This window comes from Homo sapiens, chromosome 17 (assembly GCF_000001405.40).
Source record: "Homo sapiens chromosome 17, GRCh38.p14 Primary Assembly".
Taxonomy (NCBI): Eukaryota; Metazoa; Chordata; class Mammalia; order Primates; family Hominidae; genus Homo; species Homo sapiens.
In genome coordinates, this window is record NC_000017.11 from 1,543,760 (window position 1) to 1,556,052 (window position 12,293).

A 12,293-nucleotide genomic window follows, 5' to 3' on the forward strand; every position below is an offset into this window, starting at 1 on the left:
AGTAAGAGCTATCACGCACAGAAATAACCCAAAAGACTGTCAGTAATTCCCCCATACCCAACGAAAGACACTTAGAAGGAAGCACCAGATTAAGATTACAACTGAAAGGCCTACACTGAAGTAACTGCCCTGTTAGCAGCTTCAAGAAAACCACGTTAGAATAAGAAAAGGAAATCATGGGTATAGTATCTCGTCAGCAGAAATTCTCCTGTGCCGTGGTGGGCCCCGGAGGCCCAGCCCCCGCATGTGGCATCTCTGGCAGCGCCATCCCTGGAGTGGGGGCAGCAGTGCCAGGATGGCCTGGTCTGATGACACCAGCCACTAAACTTCTCCAACTAAGCACCTTTTTTGAATCTATCTCCTCTAAGAAAGTCTCTCCTAGTTCGGCCTCTCCGAGACGTGCTCATCAATGGACCCAAGAATCTGATCACTCAGCCAAGCGGACATTCTTTGCCACACATTGGCATTCTGATTATAATTTGGTTTCTCATGTAGAAGAATCCACAAGAAAAGAATGCCCTGATCATCGAATGGGAATGTCCCGTTTCGGTAGCAATTCTGCGTTTTAGTGTAACTTCATAGACTGGCGCTGGGGTTTTTACACATTCATCTTTGTGAGACCCCGAGAGACAGATCCACTCAGTTCTGACAACCTGGTTTTCCGAAATCATGAGGGTGACAGCCCTTGCTGACCTTTTCATGCAAACTTGGGTGATCAAACAATCCTCCCCAAACCTTCTCCAGCCCTCCCAGGCCCTCAAACACCTCTGCATTCCAGTATTCCCTGTTGTTCAAACTGTAACCCAAAGTACACAGAAAAGCCGCAGGAAATCTTTTGCAGTGGGAGAGCAGAGATTTCCAAATGAGACTAATAAGGCATTTTAAATGCATGGCAGGGCCGGGCACGGTGGCTCCCGCCTGGAATCCCAGCACTTTGGGAGGCCAAGGCGGGCGGATCACCTGAGGTCAGGAGTTCGAGACCAGCTTGGCCAACATGGTGAAACCTCGTTTCTACTAAAAATATAAAAATTAGCCGGGTGTGGTGGCGCATGCCTGTAATCCCAGGCACTGTACCCACACATGGAGGCTGACAGGAGGAGGACCCCACAGCCCAACACTGTCTGTTGGGAGGCTGAGGCAGGAGAATTGCTTAAACCTAGCAGGCGGAGGTTGCAGTGAGCCGAGATTGCACCACTGTACTCCAGCCTGGGTGACAGAATGAGACTCTGTCTCAAAAAATAAAAAAATTTAAAATAAATAAATAAAAGCATGGCTTAGTGATACTGTATCCAGCCGAGGACTATAGTTCCAGGAAGAGATGGAAGGAGAAACAAACTTTCTTTTCCTTTTCCCACTTTCATTCATTCACAGACCAACTCCTATCTTACCCTCTCCTCACTTCCAGCCCATCCCATCAGCTTCAAGGGAAAAAGAGAGAGGGAAACAAGCTAAGAACAGCAAGAGCTGATCATTACCAGGGTGTCCCAATCTGTTTTCACTCCGCTCAGAGAAAGGAAGAGCCTTCCAAAAGCCATGAGGCATTTTACTTCATGCTCCTTCATCTATCTTCCTTCAAACTTGGATCTACTGAGGCCAAGCTAAGATGTCTGAACTAATAACCTCTCTCCCATCAGCCCCCAGAGGGAACTGGAAAGTAGCCTTCCTTGCCTGCTGGTATCTCTTATTTTAAAAGAGCAAGTGTCTAACTAAACAGATCTAAGATTCAACATATCCATTCTGTGTGAAGGTGTATCCTGAATAGGAGGTCAGCACCCACTGAGGAAACCAACCTTCCTTCCCCTACTCCCTGTCTCCATGAAATATTTAGAAATTACATTTTTCCAGTGGAGCTCCAGTGGCGCAATTGGTTAGCGCATGGTGCTGATACAGAAATTATGTTTTTCTTTTCTTTTGGCCAAGGATCAATATATGAACATTTAACGTGCAGAAAAATGCCCATGTCAGCCGCAACACTCTTCCCAGAATGACACAGAGAACAGGGGCATCTCTCAGTTGGCACAAGCTGTGTACCCAGAACCCTGCCCCAGGCAGGGAGATGTCCACACTTGCAACACATGCTCACTGCGACTCTCTTAGACATCAAGAAAATCCACCTTTGGCCCTAGACCAGACACACCCAGCCACACTGCATACTGCCTTTTTTTTTTTTTTTTTTTTTTTTTAATAAACGGAGTTTTGCTCTTGTTGTCCAAGCTGGAGTGGAATGGCACGATCTCGGCTCACTGTAACCTCCGCCTCCCAGGTTCAAGCGATTCTCCTGCCTCAGCCTCCCAAGTAGCTGGGGTTACAGGCATGCACCACCATGCCCGGATAACTTTTTGTATTTTTAGTAGAAACGGGGTTTCACCAAGTTAGCCAGGCCGGTCTTGAACTCCTGACCTCAAGTAATCCGCCTGCCTCAGCCTCTCAAAGTGCTAGGATTACAGGCATGAGCCACCGTGCCCGACCCTGTCTTTTAAGAACATCTGTGCATCCCTCATTTCCAAGAATCTAACTTCCAGCCCAGTGCTTAAGGAGTAGGGAGGGCTGTGCTTCAGCTACAGCAAGAAAACTCTAAGGGTTACACATCCCAGACCCCACCAATGACCGCAAATCTCCTGATACAAGGTCCCTGAACCTGTGTGGGGCCACTGAGGGTTGGAAAGAGCAATGACCCCGTATTCTGGATTGCAGTCATTCCCAAAGTCCACAGGATAAGGGTGATATGCGTCACGTAAGGATCCCAGACTCATCAGACTCTAGGGAGTACCAGGTGCCAACAAAGAAAGCAAGTGCAGGAGGACAGGTCAGCAGAGGCTGGTGGGAGGACCCCGCAGCCCAACACTGTCTGTACCCACACATGGAGGCTGGTGGGAGGAAAGGTCACCTACCTCACAGACAAGTGCCAGGGGACCTCTCAGGACTCCCCAGGGTTATGAATCAGTACCAGCTTAGGCCCTCCCAACAGGTCTATTCCTAGATGGCCCTGGAAACCTAGGAATCTTGGAAGGCTAAGAATCTGAATCACTCGAAAGAAATTTAAGAATGTCTGGACTAGAATAGAAAGTTCTCTGTGGAGGTTCAAATCTTTCCTTTCCTTTCAAGAAACTCTATGCAGGAGACTGGCCAAGATTAAGAAAATAATTATACCTGTATCCTCAATTACAGAACATGCTGTTTCAGCAGAAGCCACAGTTCATTCATATGATGGAATACTATGCAGCTATTATAAATTAAAAAACAAAACAAAACAAAACACCAGACACCTTAGTGACAAGGAAAATGTTATCCATTCACTGAAGAAAAATGAGAAACTTAGGCCAGGCACAGTGGCTCATGCCTGTAATGCCAGCACTTTGGGAGGCCAAGGTGGGAGGATCGCTTGAGCCCAGGAATTTGAAACCAGCCTGGGCAACATGGTGAGACCCCATCTCTCCAAAAAAAAAAAAAAAAAAACCTAGCCGGACATGATGGCATATGCCTATAGTCCCAGGTATTTGGGAGGCTGAGGCAGAAGGATCACTTGAGCCTGGGAGGTTAAGGCTGCAGTGAGCTGTGGTTGTGCCACTGGACACCAGCCTGGACAACAGAGTGAGACAAAAAAAGCAATTAAAAAATTAGTAATCATATTAGTAATCCCAGCATTCTGGGAGGCCGAGGCAGGTGGATCACTTGAAGTCAGGAGTTCGAGACCAGCCTGGCCAACATGGTGAAACACCGTCTCTACTAAAAATACAAAAATTAGCCGGGCATGGTGGTGTATGCCTGTAATTCCAGCTACTTGTATGGCTGGGGCACGAGAATCGCTTGAACCCAGGAGGCGGAGTTTGCAGTGAGCCAAGATTGTGCCATTGCTCTCCAGCCTAGGCAACAGAGCCAGGCTCCATCTCAAAAAAAAAATAATAATAAAATAAATAGTAATGATCTAAAATTTTTCGAGAAAATGTGTCTGGGCTGGGCACAGTGGCTCACACCTATAATCCCAGCACTTTGGGAGGCCAAGGTGGGCGGATAACCTGAGGTCAGGAGGTCGAGACCAGCCTGGGCAACATGGTGAAACTCTGTCTCTACTACAATACAAAAAATTAGCCAGGCGTGGCGGTATGCGCCTGTAGTCCCAGCTACTCGGGAGGCTGAGGCAGCAGAATTGCTTGAACCCGGGAGCCAGAGGTTGCAGTGAGCCGAGATCACGCCACTGTGCTCCAGTCTGGGCAACAGAGCGAGACTCCATCTCCCAAAAAATAAATAAATAAATAAAAATGACTAGAAAAATATACTAAAATGTTATAATGAATAACAATAATCAAAATCGCAGCATCCCCAAGTGAGAGACTGGCTCTGTGCTCTCAGGCCGTGACGACCGGTGCTTCTCGCCCTGCTGTCCACCAAGCTGTGCTGGACACAGCACTGATACCCACCATCAGCCGGAAGGGACCCAGCCCGAGCCTTTCCCTGGCCTAATCCGGAACACGCAGGTGGGACCCACAGCTCTGCTGCCCGCCCCTGCCTGGCCGACGTGGCCCCGGCTGCACTCACCGGTTCTGCAGTAGGGGTAAGCATTCCAGGCTTTCTCGTGTATATTCAGGGCTCCCTCTGGGGCCAGCATTCGAACAAACGTGGGTACTTTGCTATAGCGGGGAAAAAAAGGGGTATAAAGAGAAATGGTAGAGAGAAAGGAGACAAGAGGCTTTTCAGATCCAGCTTCTTCATGGGGAGCTGACAAGCAAGTTTCCATGCAATGAGCAGGTTACTGGTGGGAGTGAGAAGTTACGTATGAGAGCCTGACACCCCACCTTGGCTGGCTCCTAACACACACCCACGACGTGCCCCACCAGCCACCAGAAACAGGACCACACAAGAGACCCCAGGCTACCTGCTGTGGCTCATCACCCCTTCCATCAGCATTACACATTTTTCCAGAGCTTGCTGGGCCCAGGGCATTATACTACAAGGTGCGAGAAAAACACAAAGGAGATGCCTCCAAGCATGAACCAGTCTCGGTTTAGGGCCAGGGTAACTAGCCGACTAACTTGGGTTTGGGATCCAGGATTATCTGATCTGCTTTCATCAGCTCTGAGAGGCCAGGAGGGCCTAGAACCATTTGCCTCCCAGGACAAAGTATTTTCTTCTACTCAATTCTTTTTTTTTGTTTGTTTGTTTGAGACGGAGTCTCCCTTTGTCGCCCAGGCTGGAGTGCAGTGCTGCGATCTCGGGTAACTGCAACCTCCACCTCCAGGGTCCCAGTTCAAGCGATTCTCCCGCCTCAGCCTCTTGAGTAGCTGGGATTACAGGCATGCGCCACCACGCCCAGCTAATTTTTGTATTTTTAGTAGAGACAGGGTTTCACCATGTTGGCCAGGCTGGTCTTGAACTCCTGACCTCGTGATCCACCCACCTTGGCCTCCCACGGTGCTGGGATTACAGGCATGAGCCACCGCGCCCGGTCTCTTCTACTCAATTCTTATCTCAGGTTACAGAACAACATGTACAGTATAAGCCCCCTGCTTTTTTTTTTTTTTTTGGTAGGTGTGTGGTTTGACGGAGTAGGAAAACATTTAGAATTTTTTTTTTTTTTTTGAGACAGTCTTGCTGTGTCACCCAAGCTGGAGTGTAGTGGCTCGATCTTGGCTCACTGCAAGCTCCTCCTCCCAGGTTCAAGAGATTCTCCTGCCTCAGCCTCCCGAGTAGAAGGGACTACAGGTTCCCGCCACCACGCCCGGCTAATTTTTTGTATTTTTAGTAAAGACAGGGTTTCGCCATGTTAGACAGGATGGTCTCAATCTCCTGAGCTCATGATCTGCCCGCCTCAGCCTCCCAAAGTGCTGAGATTACAGTGGCGTGAGCCACCGTGCCTGGCCTAGAAAGATTTTTTAAAATTAAAATGAAAATGGTACATATATTCCTTTTCCTTTTTTTTGTTTGTTTTTGTTTTTTGAGATGGAGCCTTGCTCTGTCGCCAGGCTGGAGTGCAGTGGCACGACCTCAGCTCATTGCTTCCTCCATCTCCTGGGTTCCAGCAATCCTCCTTCCTCAGCCTCCTAAGTAGCTGGGACTACAGGCATGCGCCACCACGCCCAGCTAATTTTTGTATTTTTGGTAGAGATGGGGTTTTGTCATGTAGGCCAGGCTGGTCTCGAACTCCTGACCTCGGGCAATCTGCCTGCCTCAGCCTCCTAAAGTGCGGGGATTACAGGCGTGAGCCACCGCGCCCAGCCGTCCTTGGTTTCTAACAGATAATCTGTCCAGTCTTTGGCAAGCTCTGGCAACCTCATCAGCTTTAGTGCCTCAGGCCTAAGAAAGAAGAGCAAACTAGAGCAGAGAGCTAACCTGGAGCACTTGGGGCGGCCTCTGTGATTCACGAACTCACTGCCATCCCCATTCAGGCGAGTATTTCTAGGTCCAGGCAGGGGGACACACAGAGAAACCAAACAGATGTGGCTCCCACCCTCAAGGAGTTTCCGGTCTACTGGGGCGTGTAACTAGACAAGGCCAAGCACAACACTGTAAGTTCATGCCATAATGCGGTGGGCACAGGGCCCTGGGTGGCGGAGTGCTGTGAGAACACAGTGGGGGACATGCAGTGCACCGGGCAGGCTCTGCGAGGAAAGTCAGGATGAACCAACACATGGGACAATGAGTGGGGCTAAGCTAAGAGACAGATGGGAGTGGGGTGGGAAAAGCTGGAGAAAAGAGGGACAAGTTCAGAGTAACCGGTGCAGGTACAAGGTGGGGAATTCAAGGAGACACCTGAAGCTGGATCCTAAAAGATTTTTTTGTTTTTTTTTTGAGACAGGGTCTCACTCTGTGGCCCAGGCTGGAGTGCAGTGGTGTGATCATGGCTCACTGGCAGCCTTGACTTCCTGGGCTCAGGTGATCCTCCCACCTCAGCCTCCCAAGTAGCTGGGACTACAGGTGCACACCACTATGCCTGGCTCATTTTTGTATTTTCTGGTAGAGACAGGGTCTTGCTATGTTGCCCAGGCTGGCTAAAAGGTCCTATAAGTTATGTCAGACAGCACGGACTTCGTCCTGAAGGCAAAGGGAAGCCGTCAGCAGTTTTGGCGCTGGGAGTGACAGACCATCCAGACTGAACACTTGAAGCGGTGCGGAGAACTGAAAGGCAGGGAGACTCGTTAGAAGCTGCTGTAGTAATCCAGGCAAGAGGTGGCAAGGAAGGGACATGTTGGAGACGCTGAGGAGATGGAGTCAGCAGGACCTGATGGGACACGAAGGGCAAGTGAGAGTGTTGCGGGGCGGAGTCAGCGGGACCTGATGGGACACGAAGGGCGAGTGAGAGTATTGCGGGGCGGAGTCAGCGGGACCTGATGGGACACGAAGGGCGAGTGAGAGTGTTGCGGGGCGGAGTCAGCGGGGCCTGATGCGATAAGAAGGGCGAGTGAGAGTACTGCAGGGGAGCTCTGCTTTCTGCTTTGGGCAGCCAGATGGCTGACACAGTAAAGCTTCTCTTGTCACCATGGGGAGAGGTAGTGGTGGCAGTCACTGCTGGCCTTTTCTTTTTCTTTTTTTTCTTTTTTTTTTTTTGTAAGAGACAGGCGGGATCTCATTCTGTGGCCCAGGCTGGAGTGCAGTGGCGTGACCATGGCTTACTGCAGCCCTGACCTCTTGGGCTCGGGTGATCCTTCCACCTCAGCCTCCTGAGTAGACAGGACTACAGACACTCGCCACCACACCAGCCTAATTTTGTTTATTTTTTGTAGAGATGGAGTCTCGCTATGTTGCCCAGGCTGGTCTCAAACTCCTGACCTCAAGTGATCCATCCGTCTCGGCCTCCCAAAGTGCTGGGATTACAGGCGTGAGCCCCCGAAGCACCCGGCCAGGTTCCATCTTTCATATGTAGAGACCTCGTCTCTGTCAGTTTGGTTGGACCAACTTAGTCTTGAGGAAACAATTGGTCCCTTCTACCTAAAATACCAACTTCACCATCTCTTTTCAAAATCCTCTTTAAGAAATACAAATACCAGAGGAGGAGCAAAACGAGACATGGAGAAAAAGTGTGCTGGTGAGGAGACTGAGTGATGGTGAGGTTCCTCCCCGCTGGACAGCACTGCTCTCCTCGCACCCCGGCACTGAGGTCCTGGACCCTCTGGCGAGGAGACTGGGTGACGGTGAGGAGACTGGGTGATGGTGAGACTCCTCCCCGCTGGACAGCGCTGCTCTCCTCGCACCCCGGTACTGAGGTCCTGGACCCTCTGGCGAGGAGACTGGGTGATGGTGAGGTTCCTCCCCACTGCACAGCACTGCTCTCCTCGCACCCTGGCACTGAGGTCCTGGACCCTCTGACACCATCAAAGTGACAGACCACAGTGAAGTGGGGCTTTTTCCAAATGAAAGTCAATTGATTTCAGTTCAGTTTAGAGACTAGAAATTAAGATCCAGCTTTCAGTTTCACAGCAGTGTGGATGGACTTAAATGTCACTGAACTGTATACTTAAAAATGGTTAAAATGGTGAATTTTATGTTACGTGTACTTTATCACAATTTTTAAAAAGATTCAGGTTTACCTTTACCAGTTCTGGATAGCTTCTAAAACTAGCTTGGTTTGACTTCCACTCAAGCTGATGTATAATTAATACCATCAACGCCCTTTGGGTCTGCTCACAGTTTGCTGAAACATTACTGTTTTCGTTAGGGATTTAGCAAATTTGTGTAGTTTGATATGGATTCCAGTACACAAATCAGTTCAAGCTTCATTTAAAAATGCTGATGCCTTTGATCCAAAGAGAGGTACCAAAATTTCTCTAGCGATCGATTTCACGATATCAGAATTAAAAACCCTACCAGCCCAGCAATTCTAGGAATTCAATTTTAGGAATATTTGCTAAAAATCTGCATATACAAGTACATCAGAAGATCTACACAGAAGGAGTTTTACTGGATTATGTAGGCATCTGGAAATGACTAGAAATATGCGTCAAGACAGGAGGGTTCAACAACCTATAGCACTTCTGTCCCCCATGATACTGTGAATCCTACACGGACTTCAGAGACCGAGGCAGACAGAACAGGCTGGGAGAGGAGGCCATGATAAGTAACAACAAAAAAGGAATAGTATATTCCCATCTATATAAATGTGAGTATAACATTTATACAGTCAGTATATAACTATTAATTGTTAGGATATAACAATTAGTATAATCCCATCTATATAAAACAATAAAGGAAATAACACTCATTCACACACACACAAAAGCCAGCATCCGGCCCCGCTGCTCATGCCGCATACCTCTGCAGGTGGTAGATCTTGTGTGTGTACTGGCCTTTCTCACCGTCCTTCTCGTAGGGCTCATTCACCAGGACCTCCACGCCTTCGCCACCACCCGTTTCATTTTTACTGGCCTCAGCCACAGAATACAGCTGCCCCACTTGATACTAAAGGACAGAGACAGATGTTATTCTCAACACGGACCCTTCTCAACGGTTACACGTAATCCAGCTGCCAGTAAGTGTCTAACTGGATCTCCCTGGGGTCTCCTCATGCAGGAGCTGGTTCTGGAGTTTCACATCAGGCCTTGCCCAAACCCACCCAAAGCAACTGACAGTGCTGCTCCATGGCCCCTCTTGACCCATCAGACGTGTTTAGTTCATCCTTCTCATTTTCACACCACCCATCAGGGTTTATTTTTATTTATTTATTTTTTTTGGTAGAGACAGGGTCTTGCTATGTTGCCCAGGCTGGTCTCAAAACTCCTGGTCTCAAGCCATCCTCCCACCTTGGCCTGCCAAAGTGCTGAGATTATAAGCATGAGCCACCGTTCCCAGTCAATCCATCAGGATTTAAAGAGGCAGGTGAGTCTACTTAACCTGACACCACCACGCAGAAAACAGATTAGAGTCCAAAGGAGCTTTTGTGCTAAGCCTGCTTCTGGTATTAAGACCCCAGAAGACCTAGGTTGGTTGCTAGAAATCACTGGATCTCACCCATTTAAATAGATCCTAAGACTTGATTTCTTGTCAAAGAAAGGTGCTCAGCGCTCTGTGAAATCCGCAACCTCTATCGTAAAACTGGCTCATCTACTCGCTTCTTCTCTAGTCTTAGGCCTCTCCTCACCCCGCAAGTAGCTCTTTCAGGCAATGAAACCTCTTGACATTTTCCAGATTCCTGGTGGGGCCAAGCAAGTATTCCTGCTTCCCACATGAGATATTACAGATTCCTGCCCCACAGTCTGTGCCGGCTGGGTGCACCCTCTGTGTTGGCACTTACTACATGGCAAAAACCTAGTTTTCCTTTATTTGGGTCACATGCCACCCTATCAAGTCACCAGTCAACATGATTGGCCTCCTCTGACCCTGTCAGGATGGGCCAATGACCTAGGCAGTGCCCAGACTTAGCCCTTCCGCCTTCTTCTCTGAGAAGCTGTCCAGAGGAGAAAACAAGGTGAAAAGAAAATGAACAGCAACATTTGAGGCAGGAAATTATGTCTACACCAACGGATGTGTCTTTCCTACCGCTGCCGGTGCTAATCAGGCATGGCTGCTTAGGGAGTATGAGAAAAAGGAAAAAAGCTATGGGATTACCCAACATGCTGGGGGGTGGAGGGGGACAAAGGGTTTCCTCGAGCTCTATGCCCAACTCCTGGCACCCCCGGGGGGAAGACAAGGGTGTTTCTCTATTTTTTTTTTTTTTTTTTTTTTTTTTTAGACAGAGATCGCACAGTGGTGCGATCTCAGGTCACTGCAACCTCCGCCTCCTGGGTTCAAGTGATTCTCCTGCCTCCTGCCTCCTGCCTCAGCCTCCGAAGTAGCTGGGATTACAGGGACTGGGTTTTTCTCTCTTTGAGATTAAAACAGAAAGGATGTATCTCTAGGCAACTGCTACTTAAATCACTGCCTCCAACAGCAAGGACAGAGGCAGCTTCCAGAGCTGCTTCGCCTCAAACTTAGAAACCTGCTCTACCAGGCAGCTTCCTAAGCACTGCAGGGAAATTTCTGGGCAAAATCTGGAAAGTGAAGCAGAGGACGAGGACAATTCACTGCTCACCACAAGGCTGAAAGAGCCCTAACTTTCAAAGCAAAATCCCAGAACAAAATGCCATGAAAAGGGGCAGCAATCGAGGCTCAGTGAAATCCATACAGAGGAACATATGGGTGAAAGCCAGTCACCTTGACCTTGCTAATCCTAAGCTGCATCAGTGCTGCCTCAATGCCCCCCTGGAGCCCCAAGCTGTCCCTGTGCCTCTCCAAGTCCACCACCCAGCTAGGCACACATGAAAACCCGTCAGGTGGGTCAGGGCTTGGCTGAGCCAGGGGTGCCTAAGAAGGAGCAGTAACTCCGTTTCAGAGAAGAGCCGTAAGAACATCTAACCACTGACTCAGCAATCCTAAAGGACAGGCTGGGGAGAGGGCCTGGTGGAGGGGGCGAGGTTCCCAGCTAGTGGTACCACTTGGGAAGGGGGACCCCAGGCAGAGACTAATCGCCTTCATTTGGTTTCTCTTCAGCTGCAGGAATCAGAGGGCAGGTTCTAAGAGGATCAGCCTGTTGGCTGGCATCTTCCCCCTTCAATCTCTCTTGATATTCTGATCCTTTAATCCCAATGAGACAAGTGAAGGCAGTTTTGTTAATCTAAAGGGGTAAGCAAGACTGGCCTGCACAAGCTACAAGTGAAGGGCGCTTTTCACGTTAGAGTTCCTTTTGGCACAGCTGCTCTGCCCCCTGGGAAAGCAGCCAGACTCGGATGGGGCAGAGATAGGAGTGGGAGGGTCAGATCATTAAATCAGATTTAAAAAACTCCAACAGGACTGGGAATCTAGCCTCCTCAGACCTGCGATGATGTTCCTTGCTCTTGAGATCTGTTCACCTATCCCAGAGAACTAAGACATTCAACTAAGAAAAACAGACTCCACAACTTTGGCAATCTGGGAGGGGGAGCCCAGTGGGTGGGCCTGAAATACTGACATGAAACACGTCATAAACAACAGTACAGCTTTGGTCCCACCAACATGGCCCTGTCAGGCTGGGTACCAGAGGGGGACTGGTGCCGTGAATCTCTGGAAACAAGAAGTGAAGCAGCCCGGCCGACCTGTGCCAGGAAGCACTGGTGGACACACCCCGTCAAACAGCCAGGGCTTTCTCGCTCTGCTGCACAACGCCCAGACACTCAGGGTTAGACCAAAGGCTCTGGCCACCCAGAAGCTAATTCTGCCCCCAAAATATTGATGCAGGCCATCGGAATGATTACAAAGGCATGACCTTCTCTTTCCCTTTCTTCACTTTCCCCTAAATCAGAAAACTGCAAAGGCCTCAAGTCATGGCCTCCAATTTAGGAAGTGAATCC

At 49.2% G+C, this 12,293-nt stretch overlaps 1 protein-coding gene across 2 annotated transcripts in view, besides 2 other annotated features; it reads right to left on the reverse strand.

Annotated features, from left to right (window-relative positions):
- The window catches only part of PITPNA (phosphatidylinositol transfer protein alpha), a 45,075-nt gene that overhangs the window by 26,042 nt on the left and 6,740 nt on the right, over positions 1–12,293 (reverse strand). For both annotated transcript variants that reach the window (NM_006224.4, XM_047436299.1), the window contains exons 3-4: positions 9,245–9,390; positions 4,537–4,628 (exon numbers count right to left, since the gene is read on the reverse strand). In NM_006224.4, the coding sequence (NP_006215.1) occupies positions 4,537–4,628; positions 9,245–9,390 (238 nt within the window). The remainder of the gene's footprint in view (positions 1–4,536; positions 4,629–9,244; positions 9,391–12,293) is intronic.
- Positions 6,868–7,782: an enhancer, noted in NCBI's record as "H3K4me1 hESC enhancer chr17:1453921-1454835 (GRCh37/hg19 assembly coordinates)". NCBI's record gives its function as "activates a minimal SCP1, AML or CMV promoter by ChIP-STARR-seq in naive and primed H9 embryonic stem cells {active_cell/tissue: H9 hESC(naive and primed)}" and the evidence as "EXISTENCE:reporter gene assay evidence [ECO:0000049][PMID:30033119]".
- Positions 12,057–12,126: an enhancer, noted in NCBI's record as "active region_11453". NCBI's record gives its function as "activates an Ori minimal core promoter by ATAC-STARR-seq in GM12878 lymphoblastoid cells {active_cell/tissue: GM12878}" and the evidence as "EXISTENCE:reporter gene assay evidence [ECO:0000049][PMID:35858748]".